This window comes from Homo sapiens, chromosome 4 (assembly GCF_000001405.40).
Source record: "Homo sapiens chromosome 4, GRCh38.p14 Primary Assembly".
Taxonomy (NCBI): Eukaryota; Metazoa; Chordata; class Mammalia; order Primates; family Hominidae; genus Homo; species Homo sapiens.
Genome location: NC_000004.12, coordinates 48,015,066 through 48,040,606, shown reverse-complemented (window position 1 = coordinate 48,040,606; position 25,541 = coordinate 48,015,066). Strand labels below are relative to the sequence as shown.

Below are 25,541 nucleotides of genomic sequence, written 5' to 3'. Positions count from 1 at the left end.
AACATTAACATCAGTGCAGTTTTTTTTTTTTTTTGAAACACTGAAACATTTATTTTGTGAGATGAGTCAGAGCCTCCCTCTGTTGCCCAGGCTGGAGTGCAGTGGCATGATCTCAGCTCACTGCAACCTCTGCCTCCCAGGTTCAAGCAATTCTGCCTCAGCCTCCCAAGTAGCTGGGATTACAGGCGCGTGCCACCATACCCAGCTAATTTTTTATATTTTTGGTAGAGACAGGGTTTCACCTTGTTGGCCAGGCTGGTCTCGAACTCCTGACCTCAAGTGATCTGCCCGCCTCGACCTCCCAAAGTGCTGACATTACAGGCATGAGCCACCGGCCCAGCCTGAAACTTTCCTTTTAATCTCAAAACAAAATGGGAATAGTTTTGCCATTACATATGCTTAACATTTATAAACTAAAAACTGAACTCAAAAGCATAATTAAATAACATTTTATTGCAAATGAAAAATATACAAACATTTAAGATTTATAAACTTTCTAAAATCAACAGTAAAAACACTTGCAAAATATAAGGCTTCATGAACAGTTTATTCAAAATATTTGAGAACATTTCATATATTCATATATTTTTCCACAAAGCTTTGTTGGCGGGGCTAAATAGCATTTAGTTCAGTTTTTCTGGTTTTATTAAGAAAAATATTTTTATTGGAATAATTTTGTATTGGTGTTGAGATAGTATGATGAATTCACTTTCACTTGCATTATTTAAAATGAGATAATGTGACAAATTGAGAAAAGATGAATGTATAAAAATAGGCACTCAATGGTCCTTTTAAGTCTCTAGTGACAAGACTGTAAGAATTCAAATGTTGATTCAAAGAAAAGTACATTTTACTAAGTGCCTATTATCAGGCATAATGCCAGATGCTTTCCATGTATTTAATACTTTAAAATATGTGTTAATTTCATGTGCTAAATCCAAAGGGTCTTATGAAAATTGTGCAATCTGAACTTATAATAAATAACCATTGACCTAAGAATAAAATTGTAAGACAAAAGTATAATGAAACTTATCTTTACAGAAGTAGGAAAATCTTTCCATTTGTCCTGTGTGAGCACAACTTTGTAATCCTTAATAACACACATGCAGATATTCACATAATAAATCTTAAGATATGTACATGATGACAAAGTATTAAAATATATACATAAACTACCAGTTAAGACTAATAGTCTGAATATAGGGGTCCAGCATTTTATTCTTCCTTAGAAAATATCTTCCTATTTGGGAATTTTTTTTTTTTTTGAGACGGAGTCTTGCTGTTACCCAGGCTGGAGTGTGGTGGCACAATCTTGGCTCACTGCAACCTGCCCCTCCTTGCTTCAAGCAATTCCCTGCCTCAGCCTCCGGGGTAGTTGGGATTATAGGCACCCGCAACCATGCCTGGCTAATTTTTGTATTTTTAGTAGAGACGGGGTTTCACCATGTTGGCCAGGCTGGTCTTGAACTCCTGTCCTTGTGATCTACCCGCCTCAGCCTCCCAAAGTGCTGGGATTACAGGTGTGAGCCACTGCACCCAGTCAAAAATTTTTTAGTGTTAGATTTGCAACAACATTTTTTTTTTTAATGCATGTGCATCAGTAACTTTTATGTAGACAGTTTTCAAATATTTCATTGTTTCTCAGCATACTTCAACTCATTAAATCTTTCCCAGTCTTCCTCCTGGGCATGCATACATGTCAACATCAGTTCAATTTCCTGTCCAGGGTACACAATGAGCCTTGTGTTTGGGAACCTTTGACCTGGTCATAACGTACCAAGGGCAAACACCTTGTAAAAGGTGACACAAAGAAATGTCTGAAACTTAAATTCGCCAGAACACAGAATCACCAGAGTCCCAGGTTGGATGTCAAGAAAAGTGCCATTAATTTCCTCACCAAGGTGTCCTAGAGAGATCAATAAAGTTCTTAATATTAAAAGAAAAAATATTAAAATTTCTGCAATTTTCAAATGCCACTTTATCAGAAGATACTTTTTTGGGTCAGGGTCTCACTCTTGTCACCCAGGCTGGAATGCAGTGGCACAATCATAACTTACTGCAGCCTTGAACTCCTAAGCTCAAATGATCCTCCTGACTCAGCCTCTTGATGTTTTTTACATTTTTTAGAGACATGGGGTCTAGTTTATTGCCCAGGCTGGTCTCAAACTCCTGGGGACTAGAAATCCTCCCACCTGAGCCCCCCAAAGTGTTGGAATTACAGGTGTGAGCCATTGCCCAGACAGAAGATACTTTTACTACAAACTTGTGTTCATAGCTTATATATCTGATATACAAGTAAAGTGAAACAGCAATCAACAGAGTAAACACATTTTTGACCTGAGGTATCAACCCATGGACCTTCCATGGATTATCGATTTTCAAAAACGTAGAATGCATTAGAATTGCACTCAACACTAAACTATGCTGAAAAGACTATAATGTATAATGGAACATTAGGGCCTTGCAGCCATCTCAGGTAGGTTGTCATTGTGAACATCAGTCATTGTTTAATAGAACTGTGGAAATGCTGAAGTTAGTTTAATCGAATTCTGAATAATAAAGTTTACCATTATTACCTCAGGTAGTCTTGAAGTAGCTTAGAAACAAAAACCAAACCTAATAACATTTAAGGTTAGAGCAGAAAAACATTCAGTCTACCTGAATTTTTTTTTTTTTAATGACAACTTTTTGGTTAGGATTTTTGTTTTGAGAAAAATAAGATTGTTATAAAAATAAGATAGCCAATTTATTTTCCATAAAATCAATAAGTGACAGTAAATCTGTCCATCACATTAAAGACCACCAAAAATGTTATTCCTGCCATGCATTTGAAATGAGAGGGGAAAATTTTATAAACATTTTAATGTGCGAAAAAGGTATTTTCCTGCAGTAGCCCCTGAGATCTTAGTATTTTGTTTGCCAGGAAGTTAACTTTCTATCCTATTAGAATATATCTATTTTTAAAGGTTAGTAACTAATTATAATTTCCTTAATAAGGGTGAAAGTGCAAAATTTCAAGAGAGCCATTATGATAATTTGTTCAGATTTTTCACAAAGATTTTTCTAGTTGCTTCCAAACAGTCTGTGGAAAACTCACTCTTTAGGGATAAAACATTTGAGAGCAATCGAAATGTAGGATATAATCCTGAAATAATGTAGCAATCTTTTACAAAAATCTCTATATCAACAAGAAAAATAACCTTTAGGATAATAGTAAAAGAAAAGGAAAAAAAATGAACATAAGTGACTCCAAAGCTGAATTCACCTGGACTTCTTCAGAAACTCCATTTTGTCCTATGTCTTCCAGACCTGAGTTAATTAATGGAACCTGTGAAAACAATCACGTGTCTGTGTTTTTGTGAGAAGAAAACTTTTTCCTTTATCTGAAGTATTTTTCTCTTCCTCCGTTCTCCCTCTTTAACTGGTAGTAAATTCCTATGATAATGTCAATAAGTTACAATTCATAAACTCTTCATGGGTGGGTATGTCTTGTGTATTCTAGCCCACTAACAAATAAAGCAGGCTTTTTTTTAAATTTCTTTTTTCTTAAAATAACTAATTAGCTATCTAGTTTAAGAAGGAGGTGCAGAAGGAAGAACAAAGCACCCGTGGTTTCACTTCTGTTTTAAAAAAAGTTTTTTAAAGCAAAAGCCCCTGGCCCTTTCTCTTCTTCTTTTTTGAGACAGGGCCTTGCTTTGTCACCCAGGCTGGAGCACAATGGCGCAATCTGGGCTCACGGCAGCCCCAACCTCGCAGACTCAAGCAATCCTCCCACCTCAGGCTCCCGGGTGGCTGGAACTACAGGCATGTGCCACCACGCCTGGCTAATTTTTGTATTTTTTGTAGAGACAGGGTCTCGCCTTGTGGCCCAAGGTGGTCTCGAACTCCTGAGCTCAAGTGATCTGTCCGCCTTGGCCTCCCAAACTGCTAGGATTACAGGTGTGAACCACCATGCCTGGCCTCTCTTCTCAGTTTTAATATGAGAAATTACATGATTATACCTTTCTGAAATCTTGTTGAGTTTGAAATTATGACTCAACGGAGAATATGACTGATACTGTGTCTATCAGAACACTGCTAACTGTATATTGGTGAATGACTGTAAGTCTAAAAATAGCTACCAAAGAAATGAAGAGCCACCTGGCAGAGACAAAGATACTGTGACCAGAAGAAGGAGATTATTCTGAGACACACATAGCTCTTTGACTTCTTTGATCCTTAGAGAGTATTTCAAAGTTTGTAGAGATTCTGGAGGATAATCAATTTGATTTTCAAATTCAATGGCCAAAAAAATGGCATTTTTACTTGGCCTCACATCTAAATTAGTTAGAACTGCAAAAATGCTAACTTTCCTAGCAGTTCTTCCAAGAAGCAAGCATTCATTTTCCTCTTCGTGTGTCTCATATTGGTTAAAACTCAGTGTTTCTAGAGACTTCAGTCATCAGTTCTACTAAACAAGGTAACGTCATCATTGTATCCTGGGGCTGAACACTCCAAGTTCTCTAGTAAAACATAATTGTTTTCATTGACATTCAGAGAGACGGCTTCTTTCTTAGCAGTGGATGTAAGCTCACTCCAAGTAATGTCAGTATTTTTAAAAGCATGTAGAAGGAAGATGCCAATGATAATAGTGAAGAATCCACTCAGGGTCCCAATGATATCTCCAGCTGTCATGCCATACCACTCTTGGAATAAGATGGCAGAGCAAGTCACTACCATGGATGTGAAGAATACATAATAAATGGGTGTCACAAGAGAGGTATTAAAGGTGTCCAGTGCCTTGTTGAGATAGTTAATCTGTGTAGTTACTGAAAGCACAAGTACAGCCAGCAAAACAAAGACCAGCGGATGTTTGTAAACTGGCTTCCATTCTATCAGCTCCTTAATGGCAATTCCCAGGCCTTTCACAGAAGAAACTGAAAACGCTCCAATCAAGGAACAGATTGAAATATAAACCAATATATTGGTCTGTCCTTTCTTGGGAGCCACAATCAAAATCAGCACCAAGGAGATCACAGTTATGATCACAGCAAAGGAAATAAACCCTGTTAGAAGGAGAAAAGAATTTGACTTTAGAAAATGCTCACAGGATTATACCTTTCTGAAATCTTGTTAGTCATGAGTTTAAGAGCATAGGTATTTTAGAAATAGAAGTGAGATCAAATTAAAAACAACATTCTATTGCATAGTTCTCAATATTTTACAAAGGATTTTCACAAACATATCATTTAAATCTCACCAATACCACTATGAGCTAGGGCGAATATTATCAGATTAACTTTTTATTTTCAGAGGAAGAGAGTGGCAAAGATTTGATTTTGAATATATGTCTTTTGCCTCTACCATCCCCACCTCTCCCTTTCATTGTGTAACAGGGGAAGCATGAACACAAAAATAAGTTCTGCCATCTTTTCAGGAGAAATAATAATCAAACCTCACTGTGTCTCACAACCCACAATGCGGCCCACAATGTAGAAAGCTTATTACAATATTATTACAGATACTATTTGGTGAGGAGAGAAAGTGGAGCAGAATTTGAGTGGTTCTTTAGGTTGAATCACAGACCTGGGTCTCTCAATTTCATTTCCATTTCATGCAAAGATGTGACTTCCTCTTCTTGTGGGGCATGGATAACCATCACAGTTGACCCCAATATACTTAATATGCAGCCTATTTTCCCATGAATGTTCAAGTGCTCGTTTAAAAAGTAGGAAGATAATATTGCACTGTTGGGAGAGAAAAAATTAAAAATCACTATAGCTCAATTACCTTTTGATCCCATGGCAGCTCAGAAGTCACACTGTGGTACATGCCACCATGTATCCCAATGAGCTGACTGGAATATGCTATATGACACTGAAACCCTAGATTGGTTTGAAACTCAGAACTGATGGGCAATCAAATATGCTTCACTGTTTTTATATCTAAAGAGCTATAATATTCTATATCCCATAATCTTCCAGTGATCTTACAAGAGGTTCTACTCAAGTCATTTTCAATTTACCCATCTTTTCCTGTAAAGCCAAACAAAATAGAAAATCTTTTATATCTTACTGGCATGATACATTTAGAATATGTATGCCCATGGATGTTTCCAAGAAAGATACATTCCTAAAGAAAAATTACTCTGCTCAGGGCTAATAATCAGCTAGTTCACACCACTACAATCAAACGGACCAGGGGTATCCAATCTTTTGGCTTCCCTAGGCCACACTGGAAGAATTGTCTTGGGCAACACATAATATACAGTAACAGTAATGGTAGCTAATGAGCTAAAGAAAAAAAAATCACAAAAAAAACTCATAATATTTTAAGACAGTTTACAAATTTATGTTGGGCCACATTCCAAGCCGTCCTGGGCCACATGCAGCCCATGGGCCATGGGTTGGAGAAGCTTGATACAGACTTTCAAAATATCAAAATACTTCCTTACCACCTGTTACTGCTCTGATACTTAGACCTATCCAGTACTGCTAATGCTTCAGTTGCTGTGGTTTCTGCAAGCCAGCCTCCTTCCTCTAATGCTCTGGCATCCCCATGAAGGCAATTAAGTACCCATCTGTCCTCAAGATTATGATAAATTACCAGGTACTTTCCTAGAGTTGCCCTCATGTGGCCACCTTTAGGACTGCAGCCTTAGTGAAGATACTACTATTACTACTACTACTACTAGCTATTCATTGCATAGACAAGTGTTTGAAGTGCTTTATGTGTATTAACTCACTTAATTTTCATAACAATCCTATACAGAAGCTAAAAAGAATTTAGTAGGCTCAATCATAGGTTTTATACTAGAGGTTGGTAATGAATAGAAAACAAAAAGACAAGAAAAGAACAGACAAAAATGTATATGCTTATCAAACACATTCATTTGGGATCATAATAAACTCAGAAAAATTAGATCCACATTCCATGAAATAGGAAAATTATTCCTGTTTCCACTATCAAAACTACAGGGTCTCCAAACAGAAGTATCCAGCAAACAATGCAAGAATTGTAGTGAGAGTTAAAATTTAACCAAAACACCATGCTTGTAAAAGTCCTCTGATAACTATGGTCATTAACCACTATGATGAGGAAAATAATTGACAGGACTCTGGCAATTTGTTCTGATGAGAGATTTAAAAAATCTTCTATGCTTCATTGCAGTGTTACAAATGTAAAACACATTTATGTTAGTAGGAAATCAAACTCACTGTGTCTTAGGTTTTTAAAATAATAATGTGACAGTCTATTTCCTATTTCTACTGTTATTTTATAGTCTTCTCAAGTTATTTTTGTGATTTCAGGCAAGAAAAAGTATTGTTCTCACTTTATGAATGAGTAAACTGAGCCTGAGTGACTTGACCAAAGCTTCCCAGGAGCCTCAGAAATAATTTGGGTTCATCTAGACTTTTAGAGCCCAGGTTGGTCTAGATTTGTGTGTTTGCTTTTAGATATCCATAGCCATATGTTTATTATGGTTTAAGTTTATCTTGGTCTTAAAATACCTACAGAAGCCAAGTTCCCTGTTGCTCACATACCTTATGAGAACACTCAAAGCACCCAGAGGGGTGACCAAGGTGGCAGGTGCAAAAGCATAAGCAGCAAAATTTGCAGCCTCTCCTGCTCCCACTAGAAAGCAAGCAGAGATATTGATATAAAAAATGGGCTTACTTGTCAGAAGAGAAAAACAAATGACTCATGCAAAGCAGTGGACTTTTAACCCAAATACATGGGAAGATCTAGCTAAAAAGAATGATGTAACATGTTTTATAGCAGGTAGGAGATAATTAATATTAAGAGATGCAGACAAACTGTAATACCAGGTGATAAACTCAAAAGATGCAAAAAATGGTGACAGATGAGTACTCATTTTAAATGGCTTTCAATAGAAATTTTTAGCTACTTCAATATTGAAGACATATTTGGTGACTCTAATGAAATCTAGTAGAGGTAGCTTTGTAGTAAGCAGAGAATTATTTCACTTGCTCAAGAATACCTACAGCTTTGTAGGTTACCCACAGAAACCAAAACCAGCTTGGAAAATTAGAATGGTTAAATCTGGTGTGTAGGTAGGGAATAGCCAGAAATACCTGCCATAGGCCCATGAAGTTAGATATCCCTCTATTGTAAGTGATCTATAAGCAAGTAACAGTATCTCAGTAGCTTAACGAGATCCAGGCAGCTGTTTTAAAGTCATGATATGCTCCTGAATGTAATCTTTTTCTTATCTGAGGAACTCTAGACTTGCATGATATAGTGTGCTATAAATAACTTCTAGAGTGAGAGAAATCCCTTCAAGAGCTGGGCTCTGGTACTGGGGCCAAGTTATTCTCACAGAACACAGTGGGAAACTTGCCCACAGAATGTAGTATTTCATGCTGGCAACTACACCAGGCAAATGCTTATTGTAGAGAGAGAAAGGAACACCAGCATGATTTTTTTCTTTTTCCCTTTGTCTGGCTGCTACGCTACATCCCCCCAAATCTATAGGAGTATTCACCATTAGGAAAACATCATTAAACAAATCTAAATTTACAGAACAGAATAATTAAGACATTGCTATCATCGAAAGAATCACGGCAAGGCCGGGCATGGTGACTCATGACTGTAATCCCAGCACTTTGGGAGGCAGAGGGGAGAAGATCACTTGAGGTCAGGCGTTCGAGATCAGCCTGGCCAACATGGTGAAACCCTATCTCTACTAAAAATACAAAAACTAACCGGGTGTGGTGGCAAGCGTTTTTAATCCCAGCTACTCTGGAGGCTGAGGCAGGAGAATCGTTTGAATCTGGGAGGCGGAGGTTGCAGTGAACCGAGATCACGCCACTGCACTCCAGCCTGGACGACAAGAGCGAGACTCTGTCTAAAAAAAACCGTGGCAGTTTTCTTGGAATATTAAGGTTTCCTTGGATACTTTATATTATTTATATTTTTATCTTTATAGATAGCTTTCCAGGAAAACAACGACTTCATGATTAAAGTACTGTATATATATCACTTACTTAATCTCTAATGTATGCTTTTCTCTCTTCAATACTGACATAAACTTTTTTACACGGTGAAAACAAAATTGCAAATGTAGTCACATAATACTCTCCTCATATTTTCATTATAAAGTATGGGTAGAGGGTGGGGAGATGCAAGTAAGACAGAAAAAGAGAAAGATCCAAATACCTATCTGGAATCTTCCCAGACAGCCCTTGTCAATTTTTATTCAAATAAAGAAAATGGATGTAAAAGCACCCTAAAAACTGAAGGGGTGGCCGGGCGTGGTGGCTCACGCCTGTAATCACAGCACTTCTGAAGGCCGAGGTGGGTGACCTGAGGTCAGGAGTTCGAGACCAGCCTGGCCAACATGGTGAGAACTTGTCTCTACTAAAAATACAAAAATTAGCTGGGTGTGGTGGTGTGTGCCTGTAATCCCAGGTACTCGGGAGGCTGAGGCAGGAGAATCGCTTGAAACTGGGATGCAGAGGCTGCAGTGGGCCGAGATCCTGCCAGTGCACTCCAGCCTGGGCCACAGAGCAGGACTCCATCTCAAAAAAAACAAAACAAAAAACAAAAAAACCCCAAAAAAATCCACAATAAACAAGAACTGAAGGGGCTATACATATTTAAATTCTCTTTATTAATCATCCTTTTAGATTCCACCATTTATTAAAGAAAAGGTACCCAGTTCCTTCTCATAACAGGATCTTACAAATACTGAAATGTGTTGCTTGGTTTGGGGAAATTCAGGGAAGCTTTAAGACTCCTGGCTACAGAGGGAATTTATGATGCCCTTTTTGAGGGGAGCCTCCGCTTTGGGATTTAAGAAATTTCACTTAGTGGGGAGACTGAAGTCAGCAAAAGTGGCTGAGGGAGATGAACACTGCCTTCTATTTGGACATCACATTAGCATTTAGAAAGTGCTTTCAGATCCTGTAAAGTCTCGTTTAATCCTCACAGCAGGTCTGGGAGGAAGGAGAGTGCTGACACCCTTCATTTCTTCTCCATTTGTTCAGTACCAAGCAGCCACAGAAGCCTTTCACTTATCCGTGTTGTCCTGGCAAGGAAACTGTACTCTTTCTTGAGAAAATATGCAGCTACAATAGTTGTTCTAATTAGGAGGTGGGAAAATATGAAAGAAAAGTACTTTTCTCTATTGTTATGGTGAAGAAAATACAAGAAGTCTGTGGTTAAAATGTAATATTTCAAAGGTCAACTTTTTCCCTTGCATTCCAGGACAGTACTGAGAGCACAGGGGGTGGGAAATAAGAGTAAAAATTAATTTATTTATATATAATAGTATATATAGGACAATATATTGACTAACACAAAAATGTTTAGACTTAAATTCCATCCTTGTTCCATTCTTGACAGGAAGATTAACCAATTATGAAAAATTTCATGTAATCTATTTACTATCTTACAAATAAACAGTATTCTCAGTATTAAAAACTTACTTGACAGCAATCCTACCCACCAGAGCCATTCCTTCAGGTAAGAATGTCCACCTTGTCCTAAAATACAAAAAGTAAAAATTAACAAAAAATGGGTTCTACACTGGAGGAAGGTTTGAAGAATTAACTTCTAGGAAGCGTACTGGATTATGGTTAGAAAAGTTAAGTCAGTAAATCTAAAGTCTCTTAGCTTATTTACTTGGTCATTTCCAAAGCTCTTCTAAAGCTTTTTTTCCCCCAATTTACAATGATTTAACAAATCCCCTAATGGATTAATTGCATTTAGATTTTTTTCCGTGTTTCTGTTATAAATATAATGCTCTCACGAACCTCCCTACGCATTTACCTTTGCAACACTGGAATGATTATTTCTTCACGATAAATTCCTAGAAGTGTAATTGTTGGGTAGGAGGAAATGCATTTTTTAAAGAACTTTACATGTATTACCAAATTGCCCTCCAGAAAAGTTATGTCAATTTTTTTAAAAACTTTGCAAATTTGAGTCTTAAAATGGTATGTCATTTCAATCTGCATTTTTCTGTTTGTCACCCATTTTATTCTTTCATGAATCAGGAGTTCATTTTTGTTTTATTTTTCCTGATTTTTAAAATAGATTCAGGGGTACAAGTGTAGTTGTGTTACATAAATCTACTGTAAAGTCTGGCCTTTAGTGTATCTATCACCTGAATAGTGAACACTGAACCCAACAGGTAGTATTTCATCCCTCACCTGCTTCTACCCTTTTACCCTCCCACCTTTTGGAATCTCTAATGTCCATTATTCCACTTTGAATGTGCATGTGTACCCATGGTTTAGCTCCCACTTATAAGTAAGAACATGCAGCTTTTGATTTTCTGTTTCTGAGTCACTGCACTTAGGATAATGGCCTCCAGTTCCGTCCATGTTGCTGCAAAAGATATGATTTCATTTCTCTAACAGCTAAGTAGTATTCTATGGTGTGTGTATATAATTATACCACATTTTCTTTATCCAGTCCTCTGTCGATGGGCACTTAGGTTGATTTCATGACTTTGGTGTTGTGAATAGTGGTGTGATCAACATTTGAATGCAAGTGTCTTTTCATAAAATGATTTCTTTTCCTTAAAGTAGATACCCAGTAGTGGGACTGCTGCATTAAAGGGCAGTTCTATTTTTAGTTCTCTGAGAGATCTCCATATTGTTTTCCGTAGTGGTTGTACTAATTTACATCCCCACCAACAGAGTATAAGCATTCCCTTTTCTCTGCATTCTTGTCAACATCTGTTGTTTTTTGACTTGTTAATAATAGCCATTCTGACTAGTGTAAGATGGTTATCTCATTGTGGTTTTAATTTGCATTTCTCTGGTGATTAGTTACACTGAGGATTTTTTCATATATATGTTGGTCGCTTGCATGTCTTTTGAAAAATGTATGTTCATATCCTTTACCCACTTTTTCATGGGTTTGTTTTTTTCTTGTTGAGTTGTCTGAGTTCCTTGTAGATTCTGGGTATTAGACCTTTGTCAGATGCTTAGTTTGCAAGTTTTTTCTCCTATTCTGCAGGCTGTCTTTTCACCCTGTTGATTATTTTTCTTGCTCTGCAGAAGCTTTTTACTTTAGGTCACATTTGTCTATTTTTGTTTTTGTTGCATTTCCTTTTGAGGACTTAGTCACAAATTCTTTGCCTAGGCCAATGTCCAGAAAAGTTTTTCCTAGTTTTTCTTCTAGGGCTTTTATAGTTTCAGGTTTTACATTTAAGTTTTTAATCCATCTTGAGTAGGTTTTTGTATATGGTCAGATATAAGGTCCAGTTTCGTTCTTCTATATATGGTTCTACAATTTTCCTTGCACCATTTGTTGAATAGGGTAGCCGTTCCCTAGCGTATATTATTTTCAACTTTGTCAAAGATCAGTTGGTTGTAGGTATCTGGCTTTATTTCTGGGTTCTCTATTCTGTTCCACTGATCTATGTGTGTATTTTTATACCAGTACCATGCTGTTTTGGTTATGATAGCCTTATAGTATAATTTGAAGGTACTGTGATACCTCCAGCTTTGTTCTTTTTGCTTAGGATTGCTTAAAACTTTCTGTATGATGTTTCCATGTCATCCCTTTGTTTTTCCACAAATCATAAGTTTTTCTTAATTTGTAGGAAATTTTATTTAATCACCAGGTTCACCATATTTATGTCAGTCAGAGGTGTGGACATAAATACTTCATTTCAGCTATGGTTAAAATTAAAAACAGAAAACATAAATAGTAAATTACATTGGTAGTAATGAGGACTGTAAAGGGAAGAAGATGGTTGACATAAGAGCTTTTGAGAGTTTGGATTAGTCAATGAGAGAATAACAAGCATTGGGCAGATGCACTCTGCTTAACCTCTACCTTGTCATGCTGAAATCAAGTTTCTGTTTTGTCTACTGAAAAGGACAAAATGTTTTTAAGGTATTCAAAAGGTTATCTTCCTACTACTCTAATCTGTGACTTTGTCATTATATTTACTATAGAAAATGGAGTTTTCTTATCAATTTTAATATACTTAGCCCTCTGCATTTGACCTAATTGATTTTGTTATAATTAAACAGGATATATAAGCTATGAAGACTATTTTGCAAAGTAGTTAACTGTGCTTATTTAGGACTTTCTTCTTAAGAAATTGGCAAATTACTAACTTGGAATTATATTACAACCCTGGACCTGACTATTGTCTAGTTGGTATCTTTGGGTACTAGTGAAACAATATTTATTTATGTATGTTTATTGGTCATTACATTTACAAATAACTAAGTTGGAATTATGTTACCACACTGAACCTGACTATTGTCTAGTTGGTATCTCTTTGGGTACTAGTGAAACAATATTTACTTACGTATGTTTATTGGTCATTTGCATTTCTTATTTTGTTTGTTTCTTGTTTATATGCCATGTCTATTTTCTGTTAGGGTACTAACCTTTTTACTTATTGACTGCAGTCACTTTTTATATATTATGAAACTATACTTTGTCACATATTTCATCATATTTCCCCCAATATATCATTTGCTTTTTAGTTTCAGTTAAAGTGTTTCCATATAGGATTTTTTTTGTCAATCTAGATAATCTCTTCCTTTATATAAAATAAATTATTTATCTTTATGCTTAGAAAAGCCTTCTTTTTTTTTTAAATTATTTCATTTTTTGGCCAGGCGCAGTGGCTCACACCTGTAATCCCAGCACTTTGGGAGGCCGAGGCGGGCGGATCATCTGAGGTCAGGAGTTTGAGACCAGCCTGGCCAACATGGTGAAACCCCGTCTCTACTAAAAATACAAAATTAGCTGGGCGTGATGGTGCATGCCTGTAATCCCAGCTACTTGGGAAGCTGAGGCAGGAGAATCGCTTGAACCTGGGAGGTGGAGGTTGCAGTGAGCCGAGATCATGCCACTGTACTCCAGCCTGGCCGACAGGGCAAAGCCCCGTCTGAAAAAAAAAAAAAAAATTTTATTTTTAAATTAAATTCTAACCTATCTAGAATGTATTTTGCTGAATGGTGTGAAGCAGAACTTTCATGTTTTTCTCCTCTAATTTTTTCCAATTATCTCAATACTTTGAATGATTTGTCCTTTCTCCACAGTTTCGAAATGTCACTTTTTAAAATAACAAATTCAATTGTTATATATACTTGGGTCCACTTATAAGTTTTAAATTATCTGTTATGATTTTGTCGCTTTAATGCCAGTATCAAATTGTTTTAATACAGCATATGTTTTCTTTTCTGATAGTACAAATCTCCTCTCAATAGTACTCTTTTATAAACTTGCTTGTGTAATTTATAATCATTGATTTTTTTCCATATGGATGTTAGAAAAAAGCTTAGATCTTATAGTACACTTGATGAAAATGAATAGAAAACTCATGGTTAATGAAGGGATAGTCAGGTAGACCTACTTAGCATCTTAAGTGTCACTATAAATAGCAGCCTAATTCTATTGTTGTCCATTTATTAATTTAATAAATATCTATTAGGTGCCAAACACTGCTAGGGAAGGTTCCTGTTCTTGAGAATCTACTATCAATAAGCAAGTAAACCTGTCAGCAACAATAAACAATACATGTACAACTAAAAATTATCCTAGGTACGGTGAGGGAAACTATTAGTGCAATGACAGAGAATAACGGGGGTGGGGTGGGGAGACCTGCTGTGAGAGGATGGTCAAGGAAGGCCTTTCTGAGGTGATGCTACTCACACTGAAGTCTGAAGGATGAGTGAGCTGAATGAAGGGCAGGGAGAAGGGTTCCACGCAATGGGAAGAGACCTGGGGGTGGGACAGAACCAGACATATTCCAGGAACAAGAGAAAAGTAGGTGATGGGGAGAAAAGCAAGAGGAAGTTGGAGAGGTGGCAGAGATCAGAGACTGGGAGACACAGCTGACTCCATCAAGAAGATAGAGACTAAGATAAACCGAGCCAGTGAGTTATTATTACTGTAGCCTAGGATAATTCTTAGTTGTACATGTGTTCTTTTTTATTGCTGACAGGTTTACTTGCTCATTTATAGCAGATTCTCAAGAACAGGAACCTTCCCTAGCAGTGTTTGGCACCTAATAGATATTTACTAAATCAATAAATGGATAGCAATGGAATTAGGCTGCTATTTATAGTGACACTTAAGATGCTGAGTAGGTCTGCCTGACTATCCCTTCATTAACCATGAGTTTTCTATTCATTTTAATCAAAGACCTAAGTATTTTTCTAACATCCATATGGAAAAAAAATCAATAACTATAATTACACAAGCAAGTTTATAAGAGTATTGCTGAGATGTGGCCTCACATCATTTCTGCAGTTAGAAACTTAAATTCATTAGTTGCATGTGTTTCTTACCAGCTCTAGTAAAGCCCTTGCTGGCCAGTTGCAAGAGGCCCTTCTTTTTCAGTATGAAGCTGGAGCCAATAAAAATACTTGAGCTTACTGCCAGTACCAAGCCCACATAAAGACTGTATTTGTTTTCTACATTTGCTGAAATGCTCAAGTTGTTTATGCTGTAATTCAGGTCCGTGTAGAGCACAGGAGAAGCCAGCAGCTGTGACACATTTGTGATCTCACACCAAGCCTGGGAGGAGTTTGGACAGACCAGAGACAGCACATATCCTGGAAAAAAGGAAAGAAGAGAATGTCAGGAATGAAAGGGAGAGGTATTAATGCTTACCGGCTTTCTGCAGGAAACAGAGCCTTGAGTGGATGGTACTGAAACATTTTACTACATGTAGGGAAGTCGCTAACAGGTGGCCCACAGACCTATAGACACTGTCAATTTGGCTTGCACAGATTTTTAAAAATGATTTTTAAGTGTTTAGCTGTCATCATTTAAAAATGAGCTATTTCACATGAAAGCCTGGATTCCCCCTATAAATTCGATCTGGGAACACTTATGTCTTTGTTCTGGTGAATCAGCAACTTGATGGAGCAGCGAATAGCTGTTCAGACCGGCTTGTGCTCAACAGTTCAACACAGCCCATCACATCCACTTCACTCTGCATTATCAGCCTGGCTACTGGAAAGCAGGGCTTGTGGGGCCTGAATGTAGGGAGAAAGCATAGCAACCTCAGTCTAGAAATCACATTGCAAGAAATCTGTTCGCTGGGCATGGTAACTCACACCTGTAATCCCAGCATTTTGGGAGGCCAAGGTGGGATGATTGCTTGATCCCAGGAGTTTGAGACCAGCCTGGGCAACATAGTGAAACCCCATCTACATAAAAAAAATTGAAAAATTAACCGGGCGTGGTGGTGCACGTCTGTGGTCCAAGCTACTCGGGAGGCTGAGGAGGGAGGATCGCTTGAGCCCAGGAGGATGAAGCTGCAGCGAGCTGCGATCACACCACTGCACTCCAGCCTAGGTAACAGCAAGACCCTGTCTCGAAAAAGAAAAAAAGAAAAAAGAAATTGGCTGAGCATTATGGCTGTAATCCCAGCACTTTGGGTGGCCAAGGCGGGTGGATCACTTGAGATCAGGAGTTCGAGACCAGCCTGGCCAACATGGTGAAACCCCATCTCTACTAAAAATACAAAAATTAGCGGGGCATGGGCATGGTGGTGCATGCCTATAGTCCCAGCTACTCTGGAGGTGGAGGCAGGAGAATCACTTGAACCCAGGAGGCGGCTGCAGTGAGCTGAGATCGCGCCACTGCACTCCAGCCTGGGTGACAGAACGAGACTATCTCCAAAAAAAAAAAAAAAAAAAGAAGAAATCTGTCTAACTCATTTGGTGGGGTATGAGTCATTTGGTGGGTATGAAGAGTTATATATTTCAAAAAACGTTTTAAAAGTGGGTTTAGTTTTCTAGTTTAGTTGATTTTTCAGGTCTGTTAATCCACTTTGTCCTAAAGAAAATGGAATCTAATAAAAAGAATTTAAATATCATTAGGCTTTTTAAAAAATGAGATTCAAAGAAGCATGTAAATCCCCTGAACCAAGTCCACTATTATAAATGTCTTGGAATTTTGAGGCTAAACACTAAAATACAAAATGAAAACGTTTTACACTATGTAAGAAACTTTTTATAATCTGTTCTCCACTTGAAAAGACACCAACAAGGTGACATTGTGACAAGATGTTCTGTCTTCCCATCTTTCCTTTAAAAATGGCAAATTCTCCCATTATGAATTACCCTAAACAAAAGAGGGTAAAGGAAAATTAATCAGAAACAATTTTGTAATTCAATTTTTAGAAAAGTTTTACATTTCAAAAATCTTAAGAAGGCATATAAGCAACAAGAGGCAGTTTGATCAAATGATGTCTTAGCAACAAGACTTCCATAAGTGGACCTATGTACCCCTGGCAAAGCTTCATGAAGCCACCTGAATTTTACCACATGCAAAGTTAAGAAACACCCATGAAGTTCAGGTCTGGAAAATAATAAAATAATGGAATTCAAGGTTTTCATGACTATTATTTCATTTATCTCTGTAATTTGAAAATGATCCAACTTTGTTTCAGAAATCCAGAATAGTTGGACATGGTGGCTCACCCTTGTAATCCCAGCACTTAGGGAGGCAGAGGCTAGAGGTTTGCTTGAGCCCCGGAGTTCAAGACCAGCCTGGGCAATATAGCGAGATCTCCACAAAAACAAAAACAAAAACAAAACAAAACAAAGAAATAGAAATCCAGAATAAACTCAAAGTCAAAACTAAATATCCTAACTGCTGCAAATTTTCATTTCTTTTTTTTCTGAGACAGGGTCTCACTCTGTCACCCAGGTTGTAGTGCAGTGGTGTCATCACGGCTCACTGCAACCTTGACCTCCTGGGTTTAAATGATCCTCCCATCTCAGCCTCCCAAGTAGCTGGAACCACAGGCATGCACCACCATGCCCAACTAATTTTTTTAGTTTTTTTTTGTAGAGATGGGCTCTCACTACGTTGGCCAGGCTGATGCTGCAAATTTTCAAGCAAGCTAGCCCTTAGCAATCTTGTTCCACACGATGTTTATCTCATCTAAGCCCCAAGAAGGGAAAGTGATTAAGTATATTTTTGTAAGAATTTTGATTACATTCATTCCTAAGAAAACATCGGACCTGACTTACCAGTGAATTCCATGGCTGCATTCATGTCATTTACTATGCAGTTAACATAACCACTCCAAAACTTTGTCTCTGAAATCAGTGTGGGTAGATCTCATTCCAGTGAAACAATATTCCTTCTAAGCTGTTGATACAGCAAAATGTTTCTGACATTGTAGGGGGTGTGGGAGCAGAGGGTCATAAGGGAGATCAAATGATCACTGTTGCATTTTGCAAGTTCTCATTGCAACTGGCAGGCATGAATGCTCCAAGTTTTATGGCAGGAAAAATAATAAAAATCTTGTCTGGTTACTGACCTTAGGACTTAAATTGTTTTATGCTTTGGGAACATGTTAGGGAGAGAGCCTACAGCAGATATGACTGAAAGAGGAAAGAAAGGATGGGTTAGTGGATGTGGAGTGGCCTACGGGAGAAGGGAAGAGATGGGTAATGGATGGTGTGTGGGCAGGGAATTTGGAGTGTTTTAAAGGAATCAAAGACATCTCAAGTCACAATTGGCTTATCAAGATTTAAGTAAGCACAGTAATTTTCCAGGGAGTTTAATCCAGACTTTATTCCACAGAAAGAGAACATCTACTCCATTCATTATGCTTCATTTTTAACAGACACTATCAATAGTCCTCTAAAGTGACTGTACCAAAGTACACTCTTGCTAGCCACGAACATGTACTTCTTCTTTGATGTTATTTTTCTAAATAGAGAATAATGAATATTTAGGAAATATATATTATAAATATATATATATATACACACCAATGTATCAACCAGCCAGTTTAAGAAATAAAGCATCACCCCTCAGAGTTAGTAACTATCCTGATTTTCTCTTTAACATTCTTTTGCTTATAAAAAAGATTTTCTCCATATATCTTGAAAATGCTTTTGCCTCTTTTTGCACCTATGAAAGTGTAATGATAAAGAATTTGTTCTTAGGTGACTTGTTTTTGAGATTCATCAAAACATGATGCATGAGGCTGCAGGATTTGTTTTTTCCCCACTGTTCTAGAGAATTCCACTGTATAACTATCACACAACTAATTTTTCTGTTTTATAGTTGATTGATATTTAAGTAATTTACAGGTCCCACAAACAGTACTTCTAATGTTCTTATATTATGTTGAACTATATGAAATTGATGATAACTGAACAATTTGAACCCTATGACAAGTAGTTTCATATGTTTCAACCTAATATTTATCTTCTATGTACAGGTGTAATAGTTTACATACACACACCTTTAACATTTAAAAATGAAGATCTACTATCTATAATCATGGGCAAGTTGAGTAATGGCTCTTGGTTTCAGTTTCCGCATCTGTAAAATGAGGGACTTTGACTCAATGATTCTAAAGTTTGATCATAACCTATGTTTGTTCTCAGAATTACTTACAATACTGGTGCCTCATAAATGTTGCTGATGGACCAGTTCTAAACTCATAGGCACTGATAGAGGAGAGATATTTTAAAGAAACTGATGCCAATATATTAAGTGACACTGGCCAAAGTTATGTAACTGCTAAAACCAGGGCCAAGTAACCCAATTCCCAGCCAGCATTCTATTTCAGAAAAATAAAAACATAAAGTACAAGAAAAAGCCAGTTGAAATTTATTATTCATGTTTATATAAGGATGAAATGCTTTAAATAATTTGTCAAATATTTGCCTATAGAGAATAATAATATAAATTTAAATAATAATTTAAATTATCCAGTTTATTACATGGAATAGAAATCTGGTTTTAAGAAAGTCAATAATTGTATAAAACTACCTTTTTAATCACCGCAAGATATTTCCAGTTGGGGGTCTCACCATCTATTCTACTGTGATAGTTTGGATTATTATTCATTCAGTATTCAGCCCCTTACCTTTCCCAATGTGGGCAAAGGTGCTTCACCTGATGTTGGGCTGGAAGTAAGTTGGTGGCCAATGGGAAGTCAGCAGAAGTGATATGAAGCTAGATTTCAAAGATGCTTATGTGGTTGGGTTTACTCATTTGCATCTCTGTAATTCCCTGAGGAGCTGCTGTCCCTTCAGCCTCTGCACCCAAATGAAGACACATGGAGCAGATCTGAGCTCATCCCACATGAAGGAGCCAAACCCAGGTGGACATTAGCCTGAAGCAGAGACATATAGGTGAGCCCCATCTAGATCAGTCAACCTTCAGCTGACCTAGAAACCTAAGCAAGAATATGTGATATACCTGCCTATTCATATTAGCATGGGAATGACTGAATGAAATCTCTTTATATCTGTTACAATTTATTCTCCAAACGCTAACCAGTGGGAAGTAGGTTATATCACTCCCTGGCTTAATACTCCCTGTCCCCTGTCATGGTTTTTCATCTCAACTTACAACAAAATCTCAACTCCTCACTAACTTTGAACTTTAAAGCTTCTCATGCTCTGAAACTGGCTCGTCTCTGACATCATATTGCATTACTCTCCCTCTCACCCCTCTCTGAAACACTAATCTTCTTTTCCTTCATTCAACAAATATGTATGGTGTACTACCTGTTGGGCATTTTCTAGAATCTGGAGATAGAAAAATGAATACAACAATGGTCCCGCTCTCTTATATTCCAGTGGGGGCAGATAGGATTAACAAACAAATAACTATACGTATGTTAAGAGTGCCATAGCAAGTAGTAAAAGCAGCATCAAGGAATATATTTTTTAAAACAGGATTAAACAAAAGAGCCTCTCTGCTAAGTCTAAAAGCAGAAACCCTGAGGGGTTGAAGAAACTGCAGTCAGCCAGGTTGCCTGGGGTGACAGAAAGGGAGATGGTATGAGATGTGGCTAAAGAGTAGGTGGGAGAAGGATCAGGTGAAATGAACCTTTAGACAAGTAGGTCTGATCTTGTCATTCCTCCTTCCAAAACTCCACAAGGGCTTCCCTTCTCATTCCGAAAAAAATCCAAAATTCCCACTATAGCCTATAAGGCCCTGTGGAATCCTGTCTCCAGCTGCCTAACCTCATTCCCTACTATTGCCTTTTCTTCTGTTCCTTTCATAGAATAAGTTCCTTCTCACCTTAAGCTTTTTAAAAAGCAGCTGTTCCTGAGCCTGTTACAGAGTGCTGGCTGGCATAGCTAGCTTCTTCTGAGTGAGAGGACTAAGCAACTCAGAGAGGCCTTTCCTGCCTTCCCAATCTAAAGGAACCTCTCAGTCACTTTCCATCATATGTTCCCAATCAAATAGACTTCCTCATATGGCTTAATTACAGCTTTATAACAACCTTCATACATATTTGCATTTGTTTCTTTTAAAGATAATTTTGGATTAGAGACTCTTTTGAAGCATCTATAGCTTTAAAAGTCAAAACCAATGTGGGGTGGGGGATGGCTCATGCCTGTAAACCCAGCACTTTGGGATGCCAAGGTAGGAGTATCACTTGAAGTCAGGAGTTCAAGACCAGCCTGGTCAACACAGTGAAACCCGTATTAAAAATACAAAAATTAGCTGGGCATGGTGGCATGTGCCTGTATTCCCAGCTACTTGAGAGGCTGAGGCAGGAGAATTGCTTGAACCCAGGTGGAAGTTGCAGTGAGCTGAAATTGCACCACTGCATGCCATCCTGGGTGACGGAGTGGCACTCCGCCTCAAAAAAACAAAAAAAAGTCAAAACCAAAGTATGAAATTAACTTTTTCTTCATGGAAGTTCAACTGGAATGTTCTATCTTCAGATCTCATGACTGACCCCTTGTCATTTGGGTCTCAGCTTGAATATCACTTTCGTAAGGGGCTTTCATTGAATACCCAATCTAAACATCCCAACACTCTTGATACATTACTGCTATTATAATGATCTTTTAAATTACTTTGTTTCTTGCATAGTAGCTGCCATCTGAACAGTAAGGTGCCTGAGAGCAGGAACCTAGTCCTAGAGTCTGGGACCAGACTGTCTTGCAGATCCCTCTATCCCAGCACCTATGCCAGTGCTTGGCACATGGGACTCTTGTTATTTGAATGAACAAGTGAAAAATTGAGTCTTTGTTTACTCCATGTCAAGCTCTGAGTGGTGTAGTTCATATGTAATCCCACCTGCACCTACTCTTCAGAACTGTAAACTGGAGGGATGACCCCCAATTTATAGACAGGAAAATGCTCAAGGAAGCTAAGTTACAGCTCAGACTGTCTGATGCCAAAGCCTAATCTCTTCCCACTACTAATAACGTGCATTCAGATTTCTAAGTCTTTCTCACCAGCTTTTCACACAATTAATTACCATGGTTAATCACAGGTATTAAGCCTGGAGCTTAAATGTTTCTTGTTGGAACTCAATGCATAAGCAAAGCAGGAAAAACATCCAGAAGCTCAAACAAGTGGGTGTAATTCATATACCTTCCTTACTTACAGATCCTTGGGTAAACAAGTGTGGGTGTGTTAGTAACTGTCAGATTTGCTGGGTTAGAAATTATTTAGAAAAAGGGCACACAACCTGACTCTCTAGGAAATAATTCTAGATTCAGCTGCCTTAAAATTTTTGTTTTTTAATAGTTTGTGAGTTGTTCAGGCGTTATTGCTCTTTTTCAGAAAAAAAGACTAGAAAATAATTCTAGATCCAGCGGCCTTAAAAAATTTTTTTTAATAGCTTGTGAATTGTTCAGGCATTTTTCTCCTTTTTTTGGTGTCCCTTCTCTTCCTTGCTAGCATGGTTTGGACGAGCTCACTTGTTAAAAAGGAATAAGCTGGAAGAGTCAAGAGGAGAGGAAACTAGGGAAGTTGCGAGCACCTTTGCAAAGGTGTATATGTATATACATATATATATATATATATGTGTAAGGGAACTATATATATATGTGTATATATATAGTAGTTCTTACCATGCCTTTCACTGCCTCCCTTCCCCTTTACTGCATTATCAGGTAAATTAAAAAGCTGCTTTCCCCTTGGTACGGCGAAAACCATCATTTCAATGTATCTACATCCTTCCAGTCGCTCCCCCTACCCCCTTCCCTACTTTTATCGGGGCCTTCTGTATGGAGACTGCAGAAAACCCGCCAGTGTTGCGAACACTTGGCGAAGGGCAAGGAGCCTCGCCCAGAGATTTCACGGGGCTCAGGTGAGAAGCAGTAAGAAGAGCCTGCAAACGAGTGCTCCCGGTTCCAGGTTTCCTCTCCAGTACGGCTCTCGCCTTAAGCAGCCAGAGTGACTGCACAGCGAGTCAGACAGGCTCATGGGTTTGGAGACCTTTTCATTTCCAAGGAAGAGGAGAGACGTGGGCGGCCCAGACTTGCCCAACGCCCACCCCCGCGGCCCCGGGCGCCCAACCTCTCGCGGTGCTCGATCCCCGGGAGCCAGCGCAGGGCGCAGCGCAGAACTCCCACGGGCCCCCCAGGCAGACACGCCCTCTGCCCACCGGGTGACGTCGGCCGCAGACTCTGGAAGGGAGCCTGAGTCAGAGGAAACGTCCTTCTCAGAGGGACTCGGGATTCTTCCCATAGCATCCTGAGTTTCCCCGTCCCACACGCAGCACGCGGTAATTTACACTGGTCGGCCTCGCGAATCGAGTGGGAGTCCCACCTGCCTTATTCCACTCAGGTTTTCCAGCACAGCCCGAATCGCCTAGGCACCCATAAATAAGTGTTGAACGCCTGGCTGGACGGCCGACTGACTGAATGAATGAATGAGTGAACGACTACGTTTAGAGTCGGTACAGCCCCCCTTTCCAGTCTCCGCAAGTGTCCGGGGACCGCCCACCCGGTCTCTTCGCCACCCAGCTGCCAGGTCCCTCGGCTCAGGGCAGACACAAACCTTCTCGGCAGGGCTCTCCGGGCGGCAGCCTCACCTGTGCCCCCATGGCCCCGGGAGCGGGCTTCCGGAACGCGGGCGCTTGCTCCTCACCTGGGCCTCTCCACACGCACCCGCGGCGGGCGGGGCTGCGGGGTCTGGGAATGGGGCGCCCTGACCCCGCCCCCGGGGCAGCCTCCGCCAATGGGCATGGCCAGGCGGGGCCTCAGCGCCAGCCGAGCCCTGCTGCCCGGGGCTTGTTGCGAATTCTCAGGGCCCCCGCAGGCCTGGGAGCGGCCTGTGATAACTGGTGTATCTGGCAGGAGTAGCAGCTGCCCCTTGGCGCGACTGCTGGAGCCGCGAACTAGAGAAACACAGACACGCCTCATAGAGCAACAGCGTCTCTCGGAGCGTGGAGCCCGCCAAGGTAACTCCGGGAATTGAGTGGAGTGGAGGCTGCACTGAGGCCCCCTTCTGGCTCCTCTCTGGTCGAAAAGGCTCCCCCGCTAGAGAGAGCCCTGCTGCTTTTGGAAGCCTTCAGGTGTTAGTTGCTTTGCACCGAAGCTGCTGACTGCTGGGGTTCTGCGCCGATTGCCAGGCTCAAGTTTATTTTGGGGGCTGCTGAGCAGACTTTGCCCTTCTGTGCTGTTATCAGCTTCTGTCGCTGTCCGTCCACGCCCGCTATATCCATCCACTCTCCGTTCTGTCTCCAGCAGGCAACTCCCCCTACCCTGCCCCATTTTCTGGGTCATAGGGGTATTTGAAATAAACCTTTAAGGGAAAAGCAATGCCAAAACTGGAAAGACTTATTTCCACGAATTATTAATAACTAATGTTTATGATATCCTTGTTATACCATACATATGCAGGCACATTATGTATTAATTAAATCTCACAGCAGTCTATTAACGCTCAGTTTACAGATGAGGGATTAGAGGCAAAGAGTGAGGTTAAGTAACCAAACCAAGGTTGGAAGACCTGATAGCAGGTATTTACAAAACAAGGAGTGGGCAGGGCTGGCGGGTGGCTCACCCCTGTAATCACAGCACTTTGGGAGGTTGAGGCGAGTGGCTCTCTTGAGTCCACAAGTTCGAGACTAGCCTGGGCATCATGGTGAAACCCTGTCTCTACAAAAATTAGCCAGATGTGGTGGTGTACTCCTGTAGTCTCAGCTACTCAGGAGGCTGAGGTGGGAGGACGGATGACTTGAGCCCAGGAGGTGGAGGCTACAGTGAGACATGATCGAACCACTGCACTCTAGTCCAGGCAACAGAGTGAGACCCTGTCTCAAGAAAAAAAAAGGTGAGGGGTGGGGTAGTGAACAATTCGGGCTCAAACCCTCACCAGGGAGAACTGGGGTGCCTTTGTGCTCTGGCATTTTAACACTGAGGAAAATATTCTCATGTACTCAGGTAGCCTTTGTTCTAAGTAGGCATGAACAGTGCTATTAATTTTATTACCTAAGAGTTTCATAGCAGAGGCCTCAATCTTGTTTTTCTTGTTCTTAGGCGGATGAGAGAAGAGCTAAGAACAAATTAGTCAACATACCAGTCCAAGGCACCCACTTTTATAATACATATGGATGACTTTGCAGAGAAGGAACACCACGGAGAGTGGAATAGGTGAAAGTTGAAAGCGAGGGAGATTTATGCCAATTTTCCATAACAAGCCTTAAAACTTAGACTTCTTTTTGTTTGCTTGTTTGTTTGTTTGGCTTGGTTTGGTTTTTTTTGAGACGGAGTCTCGCTCTGTCGCCCAGGCTGGAGTGCAGTGGCGCGATCTCGGCTCACTGCAAGCTCCGCCTCCTGGGTTCACGCCATTCTCCTGCCTCAGCCTCCCGAGTA

At 39.5% G+C, this 25,541-nt stretch overlaps 2 protein-coding genes across 6 annotated transcripts in view, besides 7 other annotated features; one reads left to right on the top strand and one right to left on the bottom strand.

Moving 5' to 3' along the window:
* Nucleotides 1–433: 433 nt before the first annotated feature.
* Nucleotides 434–23,835, bottom strand: NIPAL1 (NIPA like domain containing 1). Of its 3 annotated transcripts, none has more exons than NM_207330.3 (6): nt 23,722–23,835; nt 15,273–15,539; nt 10,431–10,487; nt 7,524–7,614; nt 5,566–5,726; nt 434–5,045 (listed from the first exon to the last, which is right to left on the bottom strand). In NM_207330.3, exons 1-6 carry the CDS (start codon nt 23,765–23,767, stop codon nt 4,435–4,437), a joined length of 1,233 nt encoding a protein of 410 aa, NP_997213.1. In that variant the 5' UTR covers nt 23,768–23,835; the 3' UTR covers nt 434–4,434. The 3 variants fall into 3 exon arrangements, with proteins under 3 accessions (NP_997213.1, XP_016863273.1, XP_047305598.1); XM_017007784.2 differs by having other exon boundaries at nt 23,756–23,835; XM_047449642.1 differs by lacking the exon at nt 434–5,045 and having other exon boundaries at nt 10,451–10,487.
* Nucleotides 3,595–3,654: an enhancer, noted in NCBI's record as "active region_21534". NCBI's record gives its function as "activates an Ori minimal core promoter by ATAC-STARR-seq in GM12878 lymphoblastoid cells {active_cell/tissue: GM12878}" and the evidence as "EXISTENCE:reporter gene assay evidence [ECO:0000049][PMID:35858748]".
* Nucleotides 3,675–3,934: an enhancer, noted in NCBI's record as "active region_21533". NCBI's record gives its function as "activates an Ori minimal core promoter by ATAC-STARR-seq in GM12878 lymphoblastoid cells {active_cell/tissue: GM12878}" and the evidence as "EXISTENCE:reporter gene assay evidence [ECO:0000049][PMID:35858748]".
* Nucleotides 12,813–12,882: a silencer, noted in NCBI's record as "silent region_15403". NCBI's record gives its function as "represses an Ori minimal core promoter by ATAC-STARR-seq in GM12878 lymphoblastoid cells {active_cell/tissue: GM12878}" and the evidence as "EXISTENCE:reporter gene assay evidence [ECO:0000049][PMID:35858748]".
* Nucleotides 23,200–23,359: a silencer, noted in NCBI's record as "silent region_15402". NCBI's record gives its function as "represses an Ori minimal core promoter by ATAC-STARR-seq in GM12878 lymphoblastoid cells {active_cell/tissue: GM12878}" and the evidence as "EXISTENCE:reporter gene assay evidence [ECO:0000049][PMID:35858748]".
* Nucleotides 23,650–23,979: a silencer, noted in NCBI's record as "silent region_15401". NCBI's record gives its function as "represses an Ori minimal core promoter by ATAC-STARR-seq in GM12878 lymphoblastoid cells {active_cell/tissue: GM12878}" and the evidence as "EXISTENCE:reporter gene assay evidence [ECO:0000049][PMID:35858748]".
* Nucleotides 23,650–24,245: a biological region, named in NCBI's record as "H3K27ac hESC enhancer GRCh37_chr4:48018379-48018880".
* Nucleotides 23,744–24,245: an enhancer, noted in NCBI's record as "H3K27ac hESC enhancer chr4:48018379-48018880 (GRCh37/hg19 assembly coordinates)". NCBI's record gives its function as "activates a minimal SCP1, AML or CMV promoter by ChIP-STARR-seq in naive and primed H9 embryonic stem cells {active_cell/tissue: H9 hESC(naive and primed)}" and the evidence as "EXISTENCE:reporter gene assay evidence [ECO:0000049][PMID:30033119]".
* The window catches only part of CNGA1 (cyclic nucleotide gated channel subunit alpha 1), an 80,705-nt gene continuing 79,089 nt past the window's right edge, over nt 23,926–25,541 (top strand). For all 3 annotated transcript variants that reach the window (XM_005248049.5, XM_011513623.3, NM_001379270.1), the window contains exon 1: nt 23,926–24,124. The gene's annotated coding sequence lies outside the window, so the exon portion shown is untranslated. The remainder of the gene's footprint in view (nt 24,125–25,541) is intronic.

Bases quoted from the DNA above. Each gene is read 5' to 3' on its own strand.
- NIPAL1 (NM_207330.3), bottom strand. From the start codon at position 23,767: ATGGGGGCACAGGTGAGGCTGCCGCCCGGAGAGCCCTGCCGAGAAG. The intron at 7,615-10,430 runs GTAAGTTTTTAA...CTTGCTTTCTAG, and splicing joins GTGGGTAGGATTGCTGTCAA to TGGGAGCAGGAGAGGCTGCA. The intron at 5,727-7,523 runs GTATGTGAGCAA...CTCTCCCAACAG, and splicing joins GCTTTGAGTGTTCTCATAAG to TGCAATATTATCTTCCTACT.